The sequence below is a fragment of the Homo sapiens genome, chromosome 4 (assembly GCF_000001405.40).
Source record: "Homo sapiens chromosome 4, GRCh38.p14 Primary Assembly".
NCBI lineage: Eukaryota > Metazoa > Chordata > Mammalia > Primates > Hominidae > Homo > Homo sapiens.
In genome coordinates this window covers 97,759,601-97,782,421 of record NC_000004.12, presented here as the reverse complement: position 1 = coordinate 97,782,421, position 22,821 = coordinate 97,759,601, and the positions used below count along the sequence as shown (strand labels likewise).

The 22,821-nt window shown below is 37.2% G+C and overlaps 1 protein-coding gene across 7 annotated transcripts in view, besides 2 other annotated features; it reads left to right on the top strand.

Annotated features, from left to right (window-relative positions):
- The window catches only part of STPG2 (sperm tail PG-rich repeat containing 2), a 702,228-nt gene that overhangs the window by 361,055 nt on the left and 318,352 nt on the right, over positions 1-22,821 (top strand). The window lies entirely within an intron of this gene.
- Positions 3,971-4,471: an enhancer, noted in NCBI's record as "H3K27ac hESC enhancer chr4:98699102-98699602 (GRCh37/hg19 assembly coordinates)". NCBI's record gives its function as "activates a minimal SCP1, AML or CMV promoter by ChIP-STARR-seq in naive H9 embryonic stem cells {active_cell/tissue: H9 hESC(naive)}" and the evidence as "EXISTENCE:reporter gene assay evidence [ECO:0000049][PMID:30033119]".
- Positions 19,930-20,224: a silencer, noted in NCBI's record as "tiled region #6700; K562 Repressive non-DNase unmatched - State 24:Quies". NCBI's record gives its function as "represses a minimal TATA promoter and a strong SV40 promoter by Sharpr-MPRA in K562 cells {active_cell/tissue: K562}" and the evidence as "EXISTENCE:reporter gene assay evidence [ECO:0000049][PMID:27701403]".

Genomic DNA, 22,821 nt, shown 5'->3' with positions numbered 1-22,821 from the left:
TTTCGTTGAGCAGTGGTTTGTAGTTCTCCTTGAAGAGGTTCTTCACATCCCTTGTAAGTTGGATTCCTAGGTGTTTTATTCTCTTTGAAGCAATTGTGAATGGGAGTTCACTCATGATATGGCTCTCTGTCTGTTATTGGTGTATAAGAATGCTTGTGATTTTTGCACATTGATTTTGTATCCTGAGACTTTGCTGAAGTTGCTTATCAGCTTAAGGAGATTTTGGGCTGAGATGATGGGCTTTTCTAAATATACAATCATGTCATCTGCAAACAGGGACAATTTGACTTCCTCTTTTCCTAATTGAATACCCTTTATTGATTTCTCCTGCCTGATTGCCCTGGCCAGAACTTCCAACACTATGCTGAATAGGAGTGGTGAGAGAGGGCAACCTGTCTTGTGCCAGTTTTCAAAGGGAATGCTTCCAGTTTTCACCCATTCAGTATGATATTGGCTGTGGGTTTGTTATAAATAGCTCTTATTATTTTAAGATACGGCCTATCAATACCTAATTTCTTGAGAGTTTTTAGCATGAAGGGCTGTTGAATTTTGTCAAAGGCCTCTTCTGCATCTATTGAGATAATCCTGTGGTTTTTTTCTTTGGTTCTGTTTATATGCTGGATTACGTTTATTGATTTGCCTATGTTGAACCAGACTTGCATCCCAGGGATGAAGCCCACTTGATCATGGTGGATAAGCTTTTTGATGTGCTGGTGGATTTGGTTTGCCAGTATTTTATTCATGATTTTTGCATTGATGTTCATCAGGGATATTGGTCTAAAATTCTCTTTTTTTGTTGTGTCTTTTCCAGGCTTTAGTATCAGGATGATGATGGCCTCATAAAATGAGTTAGGGAGGATTTCTTCTTTTTCTATTGATTGGAATAGTTTCAGAAGGATTGGTTATGAGCTCCTTCTTGTACCTCTGGTAGAATTCGGCTGTGAATCCATCTGGTCCTGGACTTTTTTTGGTTGGTAGGCTATTAATTATTGCCTCAATTTCAGAGCCTGTTATTGGTCTATTAAGGGATTCAACTTCTTCCTGGTTTAGTCTTGGGAGGGTGTATGTGTCCAGGAATTTAGCCATTTCTTCTAGATTTTCTAGTTTATTTGCGTAGAGGTGTTTATAGTATTCTCTGATGGTAGTTTGTATTTCTGTGGGATCAGTGGTGATATCTCCTTTATCGTTTTTTATTGCATCTATTTGATTCTTCTCTCTTTTCTTCATTAGTCTTGCTAGCGGTCTATCAATTTTCTTGATCTTTTCAAAAGACCAGCTCCTGGATTCATTGATTTTTTTGAAGGGTTTTTTTGTGTCTCTATCTCCTTCAGTTCTTCTCTGATCTTAGTTATTTCTTGCCTTCTGCTAGCTTTTGAATGTGTTTGCTCTTGCTTCTCTAGTTCTTTTAATTTTGATGTTAGGGTGTCAATTTTAGATCTTTGCCGCTTTCTCTTGTGGGCATTTAGTGCTATAAATTTCCCTCTACCCACTGCTTTAAATGTGTCCCAGAGATTCTGGTATGTTGTGTCTTTGTTCTCGTTGGTTTCAAAGAACATCTTTATTTCTGCCTTCATTTCCTTATGTACCCAGTAGTCATTCAGGAGCAGGTTGTTCAGGTTCCATGTAGTTGAGCAGTTTTGAGTGAGTTTCTTAATCCTGAGTTCTAGTTTGATTGCACTGTGGTCTGAGAGACAGTTTGTTATAATTTCTGTTCTTTTACATTTGCTGAGAAGTGCTTTACTTCCAACTCTGTGGTCAATTTTGGAATAAGTGTGATGTGGTGCTGAGAAGAATGTATATTCTGTTGATTTGGGGTGGAGCATTCTGCAGATGTCTATTAGGTCCACTTGTTGCAGAGCTGAGTTCAATTCCTGGATATCCTTGTTAACTTTCTGTCTCGTTGATCTGTCTAATGTTGACAGTGGGGTGTTAAAGTCTTCCATTATTATTGTGTGGGAGTCTAAGTCTCTTTGTAGGTCTCTAAGGACTTGCTTTATGAACCTGGGTGCTCCTGTATTGGGTGCATATATATTTAAGACAGTTAGCTCTTCTTGTTGAATTGATCCCTTTACCATTATGTAATGGCCTTCTTTGTGTCTTTTGATCTTTGTTGTTTTAAAGTCTGTTTTATCAGAAACTAGGATTGCAACCCCTGCCTTTTTTTGTTTTCCATTTTCTTCATAGATCTTCCTCCATCCCTTTATTTTGAGCCTCTGTGTGTCTCTGCATGTGAGATGGGTGTCCTGAATACAGCACACTGATGGGTCTTGACTCTTTATCCAGTTTGTCAGTCTGTGTCTTTTAATTGGAGCATTTAGCCCATTTACATTTAAGGTTAATATTGTTATGTGTGAATTTGATCCTGTCATTCTGATGTTAGCTGGTTATTTTGCTCGTTATTGATGCAGTTTCTTCCTAGCATCGATGTTCTTTACAGTTCGGCATGTTTTTGCAGTGGCTGGTACCGGTTGTTCCTTTCCATGTTTAGTGCTTCTTTCAGGAGCTCTTTTAGGGCAGGCCTGGTGGTGACAGAATCTCTCAGCATTTGCTTGTCTGTAAAGGATTTTATTTCTCCTTCACTTATGAAGCTTAGTTTGGCTGGATATGAATTTCTAGGTTGAAAATTCTTTTCTTTAAGAACGTTGTATATTGGCCCCCACTCTCTTCTGGCTTGTAGAGTTTCTGCTGAGTTATCCGCTGTTAGTCTGATGGACTTCCATTTGTGGGTAACTCGATCTTTCTCTCTGGCTGCCCTTAATATTTTTTCTTTCATTTGAACTTTGGTGAAACTGACAATTATGTGTCTTGGAGTTGCTCTTGTTGAGGAGTATCTTTGTGGTGGTCTCTGTATGTCCTGAATTTGAATGTTGGCCTGCCTTGCTAGGTTGGGGAAGTTCTCCTGGATAATATCCTGCAGAGTGTTTTCCAGTTTGGTTCCATTCTCCCCATCACTTTCAGGTACACCGATCAGATATAGATTTGGTCTATACATAGTCGTGTATTTCTTGGAGGCTTTGTTCATTTCTTTTTACCCTTTTTTTCTCTAAACTTCTCTTCTCACTTCATTTCATTCATTTGATCTTCAATCACTGATACCCTTTCTTCCAGTTGATCGAATCGGTTACTGAAGCTTGTACATTTGTCATGTAGTTCTCATGCCATGGCTTTCAGTTCCATCAGGTCATTTAAGGACTTCTCTACACTGGTTATTCTAGTTAGCCATTCATCTAATCTTGTTTCAAGGTTTTCAGCTTCTTTGGGTTGGGTTCGACTTTCTTCCTTTACCTCGGAGAAGTTTGATCGTCTGAAGACTTCTTCTCTCAACTCATCAAAACCATTCTCCACCCAGCTTTGTTCCATTGCTGGTGAGGAGCTGTGTTCCTTTGCAGGGGAGGAGGTGCTCTGATTTTTAGAATTTTCGGCTTTTCTACTCTGTTTTTTTCCCCATCTTTGTGGTTTTATCTACCTTTGATCTTTGATGATGGTGACGTTCAGATGGGGTTTTGGTGTGGATGTCCTTTCTGTTTGTTAGTTTTCCTTCTATCAGACAGGACCCTCAGCTGCAGGTCTGTTGGAGTTTGCTGGAGGTCCACTCCAGGCTCTATTTGCCTGGGGATCAGTAGCAGAGGCTGCAGAACAGCGAATATTGCTGAATAGCAAATGTTGCTGCCCGATTGTTCCTCTGGAAGCTTTGTCTCAGAGTAGTACCCAGCCGTGTGAGGTGTCAGTCTGCGCCTACTGGGGGTGCCTCCCAGATAGGCTACTCGGGGGTCAGGGACCCACTTGGGGAGGCAGTCTGTCCATTCCGTGATCTCAAACTCCATGCTGGGAGAACCACTACTCTCTTCAAAGCTGTCAGACAGGGACAGTTAAGTCTGCAGAGGTTCCTGCTGCCTTTTGTTCAGCTATGCCCTGCCCGTAGAGGTGGAGTCTACAGAGGCAGGCAGTCCTCCTTGAGCTAAGGTGGGCTCCACCCAGTACAAGCTTCCTGGCTGCTGTTTACCTACTCAAGCCTCAGCAATGTTGGACGCCCCTCCCCCAGCCTCGCTGCCACCTTGCCATTCGATCTCAGACTGCTGTGCTAGGAATGAGCGAGGCTCCGTGGGCATGGGACCCTCCGAGCCAGGCATGGGACCCTCCGAGCCAGGCATGGGATATAATCTCCTCTTGTGCCCTTTGCTACGACCATTGGAAAAGCACAGTATTAGGGTGGGATTGACCCGATTTTTCAGGTGCTGTCTGTCACCCCTTCCTTTGGCTGGGAAAGGGAATTCCCTGACCCCTTGCGCTTCCCAGGTGAGTCGATGCCTCACCCTGCTTTGGCTTATGCTCGGTGGGCTGCACCCACTGTCCTGTCCCCACTGTCTGACGAACCCCAGCGAGATGAACCCAGTACCTCATTTGGAAATGCAGAAATCACCTGTCTTCTGTGTCGCTCATGCTGGGAGCTGTAGACTGGAGTTGTTCCTATTCGGCCATCTTGGAACCACCCCCCTGATTGATAGATTCTAAAAGCAGAACATTGATAGATAGTAATTTGATATCTCAGTTTGATACTCTATCAGAGATATAATATGAGAAATAAAGTAGAATGGTTAATCCACTATGAATGAAACAACTGAAGAGCAATGATTTTTATCCTAGTTAAAGCAAGTATTAGGGCTCAAAGTATCTAATCTAAAATAATGAAATCTAGAATAGAGAAGTTAACTGAATTTATCTTTTTATGCAACAGAACGGTAGGGATTTATAATACTTCATACATTTGACTGTAAAACCAACCAAGGAGTAGCTTTTATATGAAATAAGAAGGTAAGAAACTGAAAGTTTTTCATTGATTTTGCAATCCTTTTGTCCATTCCCTAGAGCTAATAGAACCAGGTATAGCAACATGGCTGGGAAAATCTTGTGGTGGTCCAGAAAACTGCATTGCTTTTCTTATAGCATAGAGTCTGTATGAGAGATTCCTGATAGGAATTGGAATTTTTGGCTCAATTTTATGCTGCCTGGGAGGCATGCTTAAATTTCCCCTTGGATCAGTTTTTAAAGTCGCATCAGAATAAGACCTTTCTGTCTAATTTAAAGAAAGAGATGATTTTATGGTATAATATTGGCTAAAAATCGACAGAGAAAAAACTGACAAACCTAAACAAGCTGTTGTTGTTACAATTTAAGTATAAGCTATAAGCTGAAGGCCTAACAGTATTCTCTCCTTTAACTAAATAGGAACATCTGTTACTGCATTTTTGTGAAGTTTTTCTTGGATGGATTTTTCAGTACGAAGTGCATTTTAACCATCCTGTAAATATTATTTACTGAGCTCCTGTATAATAGTGATTAATCATCACAACCTAATATATTTGTATAGTACTTAATAGTTTTCAAAGTACTTAAAATCTCTTTTAATTCTTAAAAGAAACTTGTGAGGTAGGCAGCATAGATTGACATTATTATTCTCCTATTACTCCTAAAATTAGTAAACGGAAGGAAACCAGCAAAAAATTGTAGATTTTTGGCATGCACTGCAGTGCTCTTTTAGTTTCACAGTGTTGCTTCTTCAAATCCCACTATACTGAAAAACAGAAGGCAATAGTAATAAAGAACATTTTCTAGTTTTGGAGATTTTTCAGAGATTATCTTTCTGTGATTTATCTATTCAATTTTATTAAAGTACATAGTAGATATTAATGGCTTTAGTGCTTTTTAAGAATATTTGTCTTTCCTATAGGCAATGTCCTTCTGTCCACATTTCCTATTAAAATTTCACCTATCATTCCAATACCATATTAAATGCCACTTCTTCCGAACACTAGACAGATCTCATCAAATGGAACTTTGTTCTCTTTACTGTTCTCCCTAATCCATTCATCTCGCTGTAATATTTTGTTTAGAGAATAGCCTCTTTATAGTTCCTGAGGTTAAAGAATATTTATTTCTAATAAAATTAAAGTAATGGGAGTGGAAAATAAGTTAAAGGAGACAATGAATAGGCAATGGAGGGGAAGCATAATGAGTTGGTTACAAGTACAGACTTTGGAACCAGACTTCCAGAATTGAATCTCAGCTTTGTTACTTATTGGTTGTGTGACCATGGGCAAAGTTATTACCCAATAAATTGTTATTCAATATTGTCATCTGTAAAATTTCATGATACTATTAGTGCCTACCTTATAGGTTTAACTTATAATAATGTTCCTAGTACATTTAAATATATATGTGTAAAAGTACAATTTATGTGTATATACATACATGTAAAATGAATATAGTTAATTCCTTTTAAAAATTTTTACTGAAATACAAACAGCATTCAAAAATTAAAACCATCAATGATATTTTGCATATTTTAAAACAGTAATAATTAGCTGGATGCAGTAGCTCATGCATGTAATCCCAGCACTTTGGGAGGCCGAGGTGGGGAGGTCATGTGAGGTCAGGAGTTCGAGACCAGTCTTGTCAATGTGGTGAAACCCCATCTCTACTAAAAATACAAAAATTAGCTAGGCATGGTGGTGCATACCTGTAATCCCAGGTACCCAGGAGGCTGAGGCAGGAGGATCACTGGAACCTGGGAGGCAGAGGTTGCAATGAGCCAAGACTGTGCCACTGAACTCTAGCCTTGGAGTAAGACTCTGTTTTAAAAATAATAATAATAATCAATACTGATTTCTTTACCATATTGCTCCCACTAGCAATTTTAAAGTCTCTTCCTCTGCTAAAGTTTTAGTGACAGTTTGAGGATTTGTTTTGCTTTGTTGTGAATATTTTAAAATATTGAGGCCAATTTATTCTGTGGCTGGTCCTCCAACTAACAATTTAGACACATTGTGCTTTCATTGCTCTCAAAGTACTAGAATATGAATTTCATAGAGGCAGAGATTGTATCTCTCTTGTTTGCCATTGTACATTCAGTAACCAAGTGTAGTGTTTGGTAAATAGAAGGTGAATAAATAATTGCCTCTGTTTTTATTTTATTTTTATTTATTTATTTATTTTTGCATTTTTTAAAATTATACTTTAATTTCTAGGGATAGCATTAGGAGATTTACCTAATGTAAATGACAAGTTAACGGGTGCAGCACACCAACATGGCACATGTATACATATGTAACAAACCTGCACGTTGTGCACGTGTAGCCTCTGTTTTTATCCTATTCTCTTCACCTTCATCCCTCAGTTAATTTCTCTTTACATTGCAATGCTACTCTCCAAGGGCCATATTTACTTTCCTTCATCTCTTTTTATTATTCCCAGTAATCTACCCTTTCTCTATCATATGCTTTACATTCCTTTCTATTTATGCGCCCTTTTTATCACAACAGGATGGTAAATAGGATAGACTGACTACATTTCAATTTCCGGTAATCAGAATTTAATTCTATTCAAAAGACTATTCATCCAGCTAAAAGACTACAAACCTAGTGGTCAGTCATAGCCAGGTGTAACCATTGCCTGTGTTTGGACATCACTGAGCCGGTCATATGGGAAGACTCCTCAAAGTGGAGACAGACAGCTGGCAGAGGATGCACTTTGCACCTTCCACCTCTTTTTTCTTCTCCCTGGAACCTCAGTAGCCATTTTTACAGTCTTATGTGGTTTTGAGGTTAGAAGATAAGTACTGTGTATTGTGGGAAAGGAGGATGGAAAGGAGATGGGTTCTTCACTAGTGTGGAGCCAACACTATGATCCTATACTGCTGATTTTGTGTGTGTGTGAGAATGAGTTAAAATTCACTTTTCTTCTGGGTTTTCAGATATACTCACCCAAACCTAATCCTAACTGTTAGAGTGAACAAAGTACCACCAAGAGAAAGCAAAAGACAGCAGTGAAGTTGTGGACAACAGCAGGCACCCTGATTTGCATCCTACTCCTTACTGTAAACCTCACCTAACCATTTTAGCAAGAATATAACCATGATATGCTTGGTGTGAGTGAATTTCTTAGGCAAGCCACAAAATGGTACAACCGAGTTGTGGTCAAACTGTTTATTTGTTGGTTTTGACTTGAGGAGGAGGAGTGATGAGGCTGAAGAAAATAAAATGGTTCACTGGGCCATAAAAACAGAATTATAAGGAATTAAGTCCTAAAATTTCCAGAGATGGTAAGAAGGTCCTGTACCCCAGACATTGTGAAATATGGTTTTATGCCAAATTTACTTAAAACTCAAAAGGGTAGGTAATCCACAAAGTAATATAAAGAGAACTGAAGTTACTCCAAGAATAAGTTACAATTACTATATCATACGTAATAGAATACAAATCTTGAGGACTGCTACAAAGTGCTTAATAAGCAAAAGCTTATCTTTAAAGAAATTTTTGTAAATAAAAGACCAGTTTGCTTAAAATGGGAGGAATATAATTACTGAAGGTCCACTGTGGCATTTATTGCAGTCTTTCTGACACACACACACACACACACACACACACACACCCTATATTTTAGAGGCAGAGTCTTGCCATGTTACCCAGGTTGGACTTGAAGCCCTGGGCTCCATAAATCCTCCCTCCTCAGCCTCACAAGTAGCTGGGACTACAGGCATGTATCGTCATGCCAAGCTTTCTGATATTTTTAATAGTTTATTTGTGCCTATCTTTCCTCAATGGGTTGTGAGAAATTTAGGGGTGGGGCATTGTGCTATATTATTCTTCCTTGCATTTCCTACATCACCTTGCAATGCTTAATATTATATAAATGTTTATAAAATTGATGTTTTGGCTTTTTAGTTGAACTTTTCAAAGTATAAATACAGTATAGTAATTTTAGGATAAAATGTGACTATTTTTGCCAACATATTTTCTATTTATTTAAAAGCAGGCTGGGTGTGGTGGCTCATGCCTGTAATCTCAACACTTTGGAAGGCTGAGGTGGGGAGATTACTTGAGCTCATGAGTCTGTGACCTGTCTAGACAATATAGTGAGATTCCAGCTGTTAAAAAGAAAAAACATTTAGCCAGGCATGGGGGCATGCACTTAGCTACTTAAGAGGCTAAGGCAGAAGAATTGCTTGAGCTTAGGAGTTTGAGTCTGCAGCGAGCTATGATTCCACCACTGCACTCCAATCTGGGCAACAGAATAAGACCCTGTCTGTAAAAATAATAATAATAATAATAAATTATACAGTAATTTCAATGTACATATTAGAAATAGCACCAATAATGTAATTTGGTTTTGAATCCAATAAATTCATGATTAAAGGTACAGTCAATTTCTATCATGGAGTTCACTACTGTGTTTTATAAAAAAGAAAATAGGAAAGAATTATTTCTGAAAGGAAATTAAAAGTGAGCTTGAAACTAAGAAAGCATAAAATAGAAAAGGCATATAAAAATGTTTGTTGACGTAATATAAAAGGAGTGATGATACAATTTCATTAATGTAAAATACATAGCTCTTTTTGAATATTGTTGTGTAAGCAACAATTTAAAATTTAAAATTGTTGCCTACACCTGCTACTTCACAATATCAGTTGAGAATAAATTATCTTTAACCTTTCCACCCTTGGATCTAAAAATACAGCAATGGTACAGGCTTCCAAAATGACAAGTTGTCTCTGAATTTCCACCTGTCTCTCTAACATTTTATTTATGTTTATATCCTGTGTTATGTTTAGTAGAAGACAATTGAAAATAGATTAATTTACTTTTGGATGTTTTCTTTTTGATTAAATTTTGAGGTAACAAAGTTGATAATTCTGTTTTTATTTTATTGTTATAATTTTGAGAAGAATTACCAGATAGAACTTTTTCTTGTAGGACTCATGGTCTAAATAAAATTAAATGACTACAAAATAAATATATACTGAGAGGTTATTTGATTAATGTTTTGAAGCTAAGACAGCAAACATTTTACAAAAATTACAATGTAAGCTTATATACAAATACTGTTTTTTGATTTATTGTTTAAATTTTGATAAGCCTTTATTGTTAAAAAAGGATTTATTCTTCCTAAAGTTATCTGCCTAACAAACTCTCTGGTAAAAAGGGTATTGACTGTCAGTATATTCACTATTTACATTAAAAACTGACAGTTCTTAATAATTGTTTTGTATAAACCATTACAAATTGTACAATCATTTCTTAGTCTTGCAACAATAAACATACAATTAAATTTTGATTGATACGATTTCAACATATGTTACACATAGTGAATTTTACTAAAAGTTATTTCTAGAATGCTTACCTGAGAGTAGTCATTCAGATATTAATTATAAATCTTAATGGCATATATCCCAGCTCTCAATTTATTGCCTCTTAGCTCCAAAATTTACCTTTTAATACATGCTCTTCAAATGGACCAAATTCCTTTTAAGAATTTCTCCTTGACAATGAGCATGATGTTGTGTTTTCTCAGCAGAGGGTGCTGAAGGGACATTTCAGGAGGAAGGGGCTCTCCAGTTTCTGGCTGCTGCATGGTGGGTCAGTGGTATGGGTAGTGTGCATCTGCAGCCATCCATTCAGAATGTACAGGCCCTCAGCAATCTCACAGCCCTTTATGGTTCTGGTGATTAGTTTCCTGCTGCCCTTTCAATATAGACCACCACAAGATCAAGCCTACTTTTCCACACTGACACTCTTATTTCTCCCTTTGCACATCCATATCCCAGATCTGTTTCCCATGGTACTCCTGACATAGGCACTTTGTGCTCCAGGGCCTTCTGCCATGCCATGGCTTCTTTCCCTCTGCATGCCCATTTGTCTAGCCCCACTAGCTGTCATTAGTCTGTGCCCCAGCTCCCCATTCCCTCTGCATGTCTGCATACCTTGCTCTGGGCAGTGGCTCACCTCATGGGCAATGTGGGCTCCAAGCCCTCTCCTGCATCGGAAACCCCATTCCTTCTACATGCTCACGTGCCTAGCTATGCTCACCTATGTCCCACCTGTGTCTCCTCTGTGCCCTTCCTGTACTCCAAAAGGATGCTTCCTGCTTGCCCACCAACTACAGACCAGCTCTGGTCTGGGCAAACTGACAAACTTCTTTGTCATCCAGTAGACTGAACTTCACTTTCTCCACAAAGGTCTGAACCCCAACCTTAGGAAGGAGAGTCCCCCTTCCAAGTTTGTCCTTCGTTAGGTACTCTATCTTAGTCCTAGAGCATGGCACAGAGTTTTCTTATATCCTAGAGTTACTCTTTTATCATAGTTTAATAATTCTTCATATTAAACTTTTTCTGTTTAAATCCCCGTGTGCTTCCTATCCCTCTGGATTGACCTGATATTGACATAGTGTGCCTTATTTTATTACCTTGTTATGCCAATAGGATTTGATGACAAATTCCTTGTTCACAAGTACAAGAAATAATGGCAGCATTCAGTATATTCACTTTTCCAAAGTTGAATAATAGAATTTTCCTCAAAACCAAATCTTAAGCTGAACTTTAGAGCACTACTACTATTAGCTTTCCATTCCAAATGTATATATACAGCATGCACTTCTTTCCTGAACTTCAGACTTGTATATCTAAGTGCCTATTAAACATTTTTGTTTGGGTGGTTAATAGGTCTCTCAAAAACACAAATCAAAATACAGACAAAAAGAAAAAAGAGCTTCTAAAAAATCAACTGCCTGACTCATCCCATCCCTGCCTCTTACATCCTGATCTCTGCCTTCCATGTCTCAATAGCGACAATTCCATTCTTCATGTTTCTTAGAACCTTCAGTTTTAGTTCCTCTGGTACTCTCAATCACAAATCCCAGTTCATCAGCAAGTGCTGTGGAATCTATCTTCAAAATACATCCAGATTCCAAGAACTTTTTAGCACTTCTAATGTTAACATTTGGTCTAAAGATCTTAGCTGGATTTCTGCAAGCTAACCAGTATACTTGCTTCTTCCCTTGCTTCTACAGTTCATTCTCATGTTAATTTTTTCTCAAAACCTCTAATAGCATGCAATCTTGTTTAGATTAAAAAAACAAAATCCTTATCCTAGCCTGCAGCTGCCTCTCTGAACTCATTTCCTTCTTTTCTCTCCGCTGCTCATTGCACTCTAGGCACATGGCAGTTCTTTGTGCTTGCCAAATGAGCTTCACCCTGTAATGTTCTTCCTCCAAACATCCACCTGACTCAGTTCTTGATTTCCTTCAGGTCTCTGTTCAGATCTCAGCTTACAGTGAAGCCTTTCCTGATAACTGCACATTTAGAACTCACAGTCCCCTTTACCCTACTTTATTTTATCTGTGGTACTTTTTTCATGTATTTTATTTTATTTTATTTTTTGAGACAGATTATCACTCTGTCGCCTAGGCTGGAGTCCAGTGGCGTGATCTCAGCTCACTGCAACCTCTGCCTCCCAGGTTCAAGCGACTTTCCTGCCTCAGCCTCCTGAGTAGCTGGGATTACAGGCACCTACAACTATGCCCGTGTAATTTTTGTATTTTTAGTAGAGATGGGGTTTTGCCATGTTGACCAGGCTGGGCTCAAACTCCTGACCTACAGTGATCTGCCTGCCTCAGCCTCCCAAAGTGCTGGGATTATAGGCCTGAGTCACCATGCCTGGACTCTTATTTCATATTTTATGTTAATTTATTTATTATTAGTATGCCACCTCCAGAATTTCAACTTTATAATGGCAAGATGTTGTCTGGTTAGTTCATTTCCATATCCTAAAATGGTGCATGGGATGTGGTAGATGCTGTCTATACATATAAATATGTACGTATTCATAAATTTGACATATCTGTGTATTCACATATATATACAGACATATATATGTTTTCATAAATTTGACATGTTCATATATGCATGAGAAACTCTTGTGTTTTCTATATATATATATAAAATAATTGAAACGAAGATGATTTTTTTAATAACTTTTTTTGTGAGGGTAGGCTCCTTTAGTGCTTAAGTATTAGGTCTATTTTATTGTAATAAGGGTACCAGTTGTACTTCAGAATATCCAAAAATTATATCTGATAATCACAAATTATCTGCTATTTTTTTTACTTTTACTACATAACAAACTAGCCTAGAATTTGGAGGCATGTGTTTATTGCCCTTTTGTCTGGGAAAAGCTGGGGGTTGATGAGGAAGTTCAACTGATCTTGACTGGGCTTGCTCACATGTCTGGGAATCAGCTGGCTGTTGGCTGATTGAAGCCGCCCATTGCTGCAGCAACTGGAACACTTATATGTACTCCATGTGGCTCTCATTCTGTACTAGGTTAACCTGAGTGTGTTCTGTCATTGGCAAAAGTGGAAGAGTGCAAGCTACCTTGTGCATACTGTAAACTAAGTATAAAACTCTAAGTCCCCCAACTGACTGAACAAACCATCTCTTGGCCATAGAGACCCCAGAGTAACCTTGGAAACTGAGTTCTCAGCCATGTCAGGATAGGAGGTTGGACACACCTCATTCCCTCTCTGCAGCTTTGCAGCTTTGCTAACTGCTGTTAGGCTTTCTTCTCTAAAGGCTAAACAGAAACTAGCCCTTTCAAATAATGCCACCACTGTTATCAACCAACTGCCTGACACTGCCCCTCCTTTTTTGCCTGGTAAGAGACCACCATCGAGACCAGCCTGGCTAACGTGGTGAAACCCCATCTCTACTTAAGATACAAAAATTAGCTGGGCATGATGGCACATGCCTGTAGTCCTAGCTACTCTGGAGGCTGAGGCAGGGGAATTGCTCGAACTCGGGAGGTGGAGATTGCAGTGAGCTGAGATCGTGCCACTACATTCCAGCCTGGGTGGCAGAGCAAGACTCCTTCTTGGGAAAAAAAAAAAAGAGAGACCACCAAACTATGGAGTGGTTCTGGCCAGTCTATGAGAATGTGCAGTAAAGGTTTAATGTCCTTTATTTTACCTTTTGACATCAGAGGGCCAAAAACTACACCTTCCTATTACTGCCAGTTTTGAACATGGAGAAGCATGAAGCACAATTGCACATGTGCACGTTTCTCCTTTCATAAATATTCATGACTCCTCCTATACCTTATTAAATAAGTATATGTGGCCACCCCACTCAGCATAAATTCCTGTTCCCTTTGCCCACCACTGTCTCCCAATAAAATATTTGTTTCTGGCTTCTGGCCAGAGGCTATGCTTCTCAGCTTGTCAGAATGGCCACCTTGCAGGCTGTAACACTATAAAAAATAAAGTCTCCTTTTCTCTTTTTTCTAAATTTATAAATTGGATTTTATTTAAGTTAACAATATCCACCCATTTTAAGTCTTTGCATTGTGTCTTTAAATTCTCATTGGCCTGGCAAGTCATTTGCATGAACCTAGTATCAAGAGGTTAACTCTTATGTTTTTTTTTTTTTTGAGACGGAGTCTCGCTCTGTTGCCCAGGCTGGAGTGCAGTGGCGTGATCTCGGCTCACTGCAAGATCCGCCTCCTGGGTTCACGACATTCTCCTGCCTCAGCTTCCCGAGTAACTGGGACTACAGACGCCCGCCACCACGCCCGCTAATTTTTTTGTGTTTTTAGTAGAGACGGGGTTTCACCATGTTGGCCAGGATGACCTCAATCTCCTGACCTGGTGATCTGCCCGCCTTGGCCTCCCAAAGTGCTGGGATTACAGGCGTGAGCCATCGTGCCTGGCCAACTCTATGTTTTATCTTCATTATTTCAGATTTTCTCTTCTCATCTCTTGACTCTTAACCTCTGTTAAGTTTCAATCAATTTTTGTTTTCTCAAAAATGCCAGATTGTTAGGAAAAAGCCAAATCAAACACTAATTTTTGTGTGGGCTTATCATATATATAATATGGATAAACTGATTAAAATAACACATTCAAATACTCATTAAGTAATGCAGTCTTCTAATTTAGAAGACAAAACGAATCATTATTTTTATTAAAAATTGCTTCCAAAATTGCAATTTTATGAATGCCAAATATGAATAACAAACTGCACAGAAACATAAATTATGTAATATTTATTTCCTCCCTTCCCTTTGTAATTAAGTACAGCAAATTGTATTTATATTGTAAAATTTAAACTCTAATAGAAGCCAGTTTATTATTAAAACATGCCACCATGTTTAATTGTCAGAGAGATTCAGACTCTCTGTATTATTGTTTCCTATCAAGTGAAATCCATTTTGTTGAGGATAAATGGTAAAAATCTTTAAAAAATTAGCAAGGATGGGACAAAATGAAATCAAATCTTCCCTGTTTCAGTGACTGCACTTCTTCATGGGGTTGTTATAAATATAAAATGAAGGAGCTGATTAAACAAACACATTGTATTTGGTATTTAATCAACATTTTGGTAGAAGAGAAAAATAAACATAATTGGTAATGGGATAGACACTATAAAGCTTCTTTCTCAAATTATCAACAACTGAGTTTCATTTGCCTTTTAAGTCATAAAATAACTGTGACTTCTAAATTTGATGCCAAAAAGTTTTCTTATGACTCATCAAAAATTGCTTGTGTTGCTTATGTTGAATATTTTGAAATTTTAGACATATAGAAAATCTTGTTCAGATTTTAAAAATACTGATTCTTTTAGTTATTTTAAATTCATTATTGGGATTTAATAAATGTTTACTTATTTAGTGGTTGTACACTACCTGCTTGAAAAAATAAATTACAGTGGGTGATACAATTAAGCATATGTTACAATAACTAAAAATTAAATATAATAAAATTAATTAGAAGAGATAGAGGAAACAGATGCTGGCAGCCACAGTTTGTATGTTAATTTTTAAGATGACATTGAATTTATTTATTTGACAAAAACAAAAGCAAAATAAAACTTACTAAAGAGTTATTTTTCTCATAAAAGCAAGCATGAAAATTCTTCTGAAGATGTGATTCATTGATTTTTAATTAAAGATTGGCTTATCTTGCTATTAAAACTCTTTAGTTTTACAAATCCTATATTGGGTGGAAAAATTAATATTACTCAAATGTCCCATTAGTTGTTATGATAAGGCCTACAAATACACATAGACTGTAGATAGATAAGTAGAAATTATGTTGGGCTCACATGCAATAGACGATCATTTCATAAATCTTTGTGTACTCATTAGTATTTTTATTTTTGAATAATGTTTGGGATAAAAGGAATTTTATATTTATTATACCCTATTTTATTTTAAATGTTTAAATCTTTGGGAATAACATGTTTCTCAATATTTGATTGCCACATCCAGTCTGAGACTTAATTTTTGAAGCCTCTGACTTAAAAAGAAATCCTTTCCTCCGTTTGCCAATTACTATTCACAATGGTTGAACAAGAACAGAATGAAAGAAGAAAACCAAGACATAAAGGACAGTTGGTCTATAGGACATGGGGAAAGTCTTTGGTACTTTGTTATAAATTTTGTGCTTTGTTTTAAATAGAGATCATATTAGTTTATTGACCCAACCAATATTTGAATCCTCTTAAACCATCCCTGACTAAATATATTGAGCTATCAGTACCTCCCAATATCAGTAAACCCTTTAAAGCATCCTACAACTTCCAATTTCATCTTTGACCACCTCTGCAAGTTAGAAAGTTCCCTCTAATATTGAGCTCACATAGATTTCCCTAAAGCTTCCAGTAATTGGGTCTAATTTGACATGATAAGAATACTCAGAACAGTTCTCTTACTCTTATATTTGCCCACTCATTAAATATTTAAAGGGTATTACAATGTCTCCACATCTGTTATTTGACAAATAGAACATCCCAGTTCCTTCAACTATTCCTAATATGAAGTTCAAAGTCTTTAATTGTTCAGGTTGTCTGACTCTGAATTAGTTTGTTTGTATGCATTAGTCAGTTTTCTCTAAGCATTGCTGTAGTAGTAAAAACCCCATAATCTTAGTGGTTACAACAATATTTATTCTCATTCACATAAAACATCAGCTATTGGTTTGTTGAAGTTCTTCTCCATATATCTTCATTTTAGGACTCAGTTGGAAGGAGTACCCCCTAAGTTATGCCAATCTAACAGAAGGAAAAAGTGCAAAATTTGTTGAGGAAGGGCATAAATCACTTTTACATATTTTTTAAGCTAAAGCAAATCACATGTCCAAATCTATCATTGATGGGGTGGGAAAATATAAACCTCCCACTGGGATTTACTGTCACATATCAAGTTAAGACATCTACAAGCCTCTTATAGGGAGGACAGCACATAATTAGGAATAATAATGCAATTGTGAACAGCCTCAAAACATGCCCTATCTTTCTCAGTATATCACTTAAAGTGGAGTTTCCTGGATTGAACAGTACACCAAGAGTGTTCTGAGCAGTTCTGAGTAGAATGTGCCTATTATTATTTTTGTTCTACATTCTGCATTATTCAGTCCAAGATTTTAACATCTCTTCAGCAATTGTATTGAATATATCTGTTACTGATCATGGCTAATCCTCATGACCATTCCAAAAAATATTCCTGTATTATACACCAGGTAATTTTATGTTAGCTACATCCTCCATGCTAAGTCAATTGAACACAAACATAGTACCCACTGAGAATTATAATAGAGTATCAGCACTTATAATATTGATATTAAAACTAACTTCAAAACTATGATGGGGCCCTGCATAGTCATTCTGTATGGAGGAGGTTCTAGCACCCCTTTTTCTGGATTCAGCTATGTCTAGGATGCAAAGAAAAAGAAAGTAATGCTTTTCCAATGCCATGTCCTTTGTTGCTGGCTGAGACTCCATGGAATTTAGATTCTGTCCATCATATGAATTAAATAACATACTCTTTCTCTTGTGGGGAGGAATAAGGGAAAGGGTAGAAAGAAAAAAACAGAAATATTTCTTACTATTTTGGTAAAAAAATCCTGTCACCAACTTTTAAACATATATATACTTTTAATTACTCCACCCTCTTCTTGTATAATTGTTTCTTTGGTTTAAACTGGGGGATCTAAAATTTATCTCTGCTGCATTTCATTTGTTGTAGGTTACCTCTCTAATCTGTGAAGGTTATTTTGATTACTAATTCTCTCATCTAACATATTCTCATCTTTCCAGCCTTGTATCCTTTAACCTTCAGAAAACAATTTTTATGCTGCATTTCCTTAGTAATAGACACTATGCTGAGTGTATCAAATACAATAGTGCACGAAATTCATATAGCCCCAACCTAATGTATCTTATAGCTTAAAGGGGAACATCAGCTATTATACAAATATTTTCTAATTGCAAACTGAAGTAAGTGCTGTAAATAAAAAACAAGGTGTGCTGTGAGAGTGTATAAGATGGAATCTGTTCTAGTCTTGAGGTTAAGGTGGTCCACCCTAGGCAAGTTCCATTTGAGTTGAGGACTCTAAAAGTAAGTTCACTCTGCATGTGCATGTGCCTATGTGTGTGTGTGTGTCTGTCTGTGCCTCTGTGTGTGTGTGTGTGTGTGTGTGTGTGTGCATGTGGTGTTGTGGAGGTTGGATTTGAAGAGGGATCCAAGCAGAAGCTCTACCATGTTCTGTGATTCTGAGCATGGAATTCAAATAACTAAAAAAGGCACATGTGGCTAAAATAGGGAGGGGTTAGGAAAGTGGTGCAAGATGAGGATAGAGAAATGAACTTGGGTCAAATTTTGTAGGCCTTGAAGACCATATTAAGGATGTTTCATGATCATCATTATGCAATAAAAATGTGGCTGATATTATCATCTTAGAGTTAAGAAATGTTGAAACCAGCAATGTCAAGAAAAATCAATAGAAATATCCATACTGATTGCTATTGATAAGTAATCAGCAACATTTGCATAATATCACATGGAATGAATTCCCCTTGCTGGTAGGGCTGGTCATAGTTTCCCTCCATGGGCCTGGAGTCTCAGGAGGGAATGCCTCTCTCTAGAATGCCAGAAATGTCTTCATTAGGGGAACAAGACCCCAAAATAAATTGTGAAGCTGTGTTCTGTTAATGATGCCCGGACAATAGGCATAAAATAAGACTATCCTGGCCAAACTGGAATATTTGGTCCCTACTTGTAGGTTCTCTATTTGCCTTAGTTACATGTCACCTATCATAGAAATTTGTGCTGAAATCCAGTAAACTAAATACTAGAAACATGTTGGATGAATTGATATTTAAATATGCTCACAAACTTTAAAATCCTTCCTGCTAGATTTAAATTGTTTCTTGTTTTGTAGACTTCTAGCTTATTTTTGTGTGTAACATCATTAGTCTCTTCTGTTTTAGAATCCAAGGTGCAAGGTTAGGGCAGCATGCTTAAATTGACTACTTACCACCTTTATGCTACACAAGTAACTAACACTATATAGACAACTGTATGCTGGGCTTTATTTCATACTGATCATGGCTAATCCTCATGACCATTCCAAAAAATATTCCTGTATTATGCACCAGGTAATTATATGTTAGCTACATCCTCCATGCTAAGTCAATTGAACACAAACATAGTACCCACTGAGAATTATAGTAGAGTATCAGCACTTATAATACAAAACAAATTTGTCTTCTTTTAATCCACTGTATTTGTGGTAGTTTGTTACGGCAACAATGGGAAACAGAGGTATGTTAAGATTTGTATCCAAAATATAACGTAGATTATTTTATATTCTGAAGGTCAAATTGAAAGAACGTTAGGGAAGATTTAATCAGGAAGCTTTAAATATCAGAGAAAGGAGATATAGTGACATTTATGCAAACACTATAACTGATTATTCCTCTTTTTTAGCCATATAATTTTAGGAATAATATCTTTTCATAATCTGATAGTAATATCTCAGGAAATGAAAATATTTCACAAGAAATCAAAGCATTCTTGAATGACTTATTTTATTGTTTTGAAGCTTTTTTTGCTTCTAATTTGGAATACTTGAAGTTAGTGTGGAATACTTTCCAAATATCAGAGAGGCAATAGCTTTGATTTTCTTTTCCATTGCTGTTGTAAAATAAGATTTTCTCCCTGTATGTTTTCCCCTGAGGCATTTTTAGCTACATGTGTCCCATAATTGAAGTAAGTGTGCATATTTGTTAATGGTGCGCACATCTCTAAGGCAAATGGGATTCTTTTCATAGGGAGGAAGCATCCTGTTAGGCCAAAAACTCTCATTCTTTTAACTGTCCCCATGAACATTCTCCTGTCCCTTCTGTTATCAGCTACTAGTTGTGTGGGCAGAACAGGTCTGAGTCTAATGTTCCCGTAAAGATTGGTCACTAGGGAACAGCACAGAGTGTGCCTTATCTCAAAAGACAAATGTGTTAATCCTGCTCTATTAAGAAAGGAAAAAGATAAATCTGACAGAACAAAAAGATGGAAAATGAGTCATTTTGCTTCTGTGAGGTTAAAAGATCTTTGGAAATATATATTTCTTTCAAAATAAGGAAAAGGAAAGAACTCCTGCCACTTTTAAAAGTATTGTTTGACATTAGCTTCACTGATACAAATTTAGAGACGACTTTAAAACCTCCAAAAATAGAAAGCAGAATCTTTTCTTTTCCTTTCTGAAAACTCAAGGACACTGAGCTGGCATAGATTTTTTTTTCCCAGTTCACTTAGGCTCTGCCATAGTGACTAGTCTATGCTTCAGCTATGCATTTTCCATTTAAATCCCATGTTTGCCTAAACTGAACTTAAAATAGCCACACATATGAGGTAAGCACTTAACATAATAGTAAATCAGCAAAAAAAGCTGTGGTTGAAAATTGTTGCTAAGTGATCTGGAATACTTAATAGAAGTTCCAGGAAGATAAAAGCCTCAGGACAGTATGTAAATTAAAAGGAAAAAAGATCATCATTTCCATTTCTTCAGAAAGAGATTTATCTTGTTCTTTCTTAATTAGAGGGCAAAAGTCCTCTATTTTTATCACTTCTCCCACTGACTATGGCAGGCAGAAGAATAGCTTCCCAAGATATCCATGTTCTAATCCTCAGAACCTGTGAATATGTGTTATATGGTGTATTGGTTTGCCAGGGCTGCCATAACTAAGTACCATAAGCTGGGTGGCTTAAATCAACAGAAATTTATTGTCTCACAATTCAGGAGGCAAGAAGTCTTCAACCAAGATATTGGCAAAGCTTTGGTCACTCCGAAACCTATAGGAGAGAATCCTTCCTTTCTTCTTCTAGCTTCTGTTGTTTGTTGGTTATCCTTGGTGTTTCTAGGTGCATCAATCTCATCTCTGCCTCCATCATCACATGGCCATCTTCCCTCTGTACGTTTGTGTCTTCCTTTCTCTGTGTCTTCTTTTATTGTAAGAACACCAGTCATATTGGATTAAGGGCCTGTCTTACCCCACTGTAAGCTCATCTTAACTAATAACATCTGCAATAAATCTATTTCCAAATAAGGTACATTCTGAAGTACTGTGAGTTGGAATTTCAAGGTATTTTTTTGGGGGGCACAATTCAACCTGTAATATAAGGCAAGGGATAATTAAAGTTGCAGGTTGCTAATTGGTTGACTATGAGATGGGGAGATTATCTTCAACTATTGGAGTGAGTTTGATGTAGTCTCATAGGTTTTTATAAGTGAAAGAGGAAAGAAGCAGAGTCAGAGCCAGAGTGATGCATTGTGAGAAAGACTCAACCTGCCACTGCTGGCTTTGAAGACTGATGGGGGCCAGTAGCCCAGGAATGTGGGTGATTTCTAGAAGCTGGAAAAGGCATGGCATGGATGCTGTCCTAGAGCCTCCTGAAAGAAATGCAGCCTTGCAGTCATCCATATTTTAGCCCATTAAGACCCATTTCCATTTCTGACCTCCAAAGCTGTAAGATAACAAATTTGTCTTGTTTTAAGCCACTATATTTGTGGTAGTTTGTTACAGCAGCAATGGGAAACTAGCATACTGACCCTTGCTCAGAGGTATGCACATAGACAGTAAGGATTTGAGTTACAGTATCTTCTCTTCCAAGATGACCTTCTTTAGATGCTTAGTATTATATTTCCTTTCTGATTCTCATCTGTTTCCATTTCTAACTTATTAACCACAGAATTATTGACTTGTAGGGTTGGATGGAATTTTAAAGACTATATATTTCAACCTACTGTTTTAAGCTTGTGGCTTCTCTATATAATCCTTGAGAGATTATCATATTTCAACTTGTGTATTGTATAAACTGAAATTTACCTTTTCATGAGAATTATATATATCCAGATATGATCTTGCCTTGGCTCATTTACTTACCAGAATAAAGGTACTTATAGCACAGTGGTTCACTTATTTAAAAACATTTACTGAACATATACCTAGAGCTAGATTCTGGGAAGGGTATGGAAGGTAGGGTGGATATGTAAAATCTAAACCACAGTTCTTGTCCTTGATCTTTTAGTCCAGTGGGGAAATCTGAACTTCAGCAGCTGGAGCTATTGTGATAAATTTGCTGATAAAATAAATTGTGAAAAAAGCTTTAGGAGTAGTACATTCTATTTAGATGTGCGAAAATCAATAGATTAACATGAAAGAATTTCCTGTTTGAGCGATAGCCCATAATATAATATGGTAAGTGGTGGTGAGAGTGGCAGAAGATTATACTATAACTATATTGGCTTATGAATGATCTTGGTGTGCCATGAGAGGCTGTAAATAAGGAAGTGACACAGTCTGATTCATACTTGAGGAAACTTATGTTAATTTTAAGAATAGATTGGAAAGAGGAACAGTGGAAGCAGATTAATAGTTAGGAAGCTCTTGCAGTAGTTCAGTTGCCTATAATTCCTAGAGTCTCCAAAACTGGCATCTCTAAAACTCTCTGGCTTATTATAGGTAGAAAAAGGAATGCCGCCTCCTTCCTTAGGATGCACTTTTAGACTGCACCTGAAACTCCAGCAAACAAGTATTTTGCTGGCCACCTTAAATATTTTTTATATTTCCTATGAGTACCTAATTTTTTCAGTTTTATATGAATTCCCCAAATATTACCACCTGGGAATTGCTAAATCCTCCAACCTTCTTTTCTACAT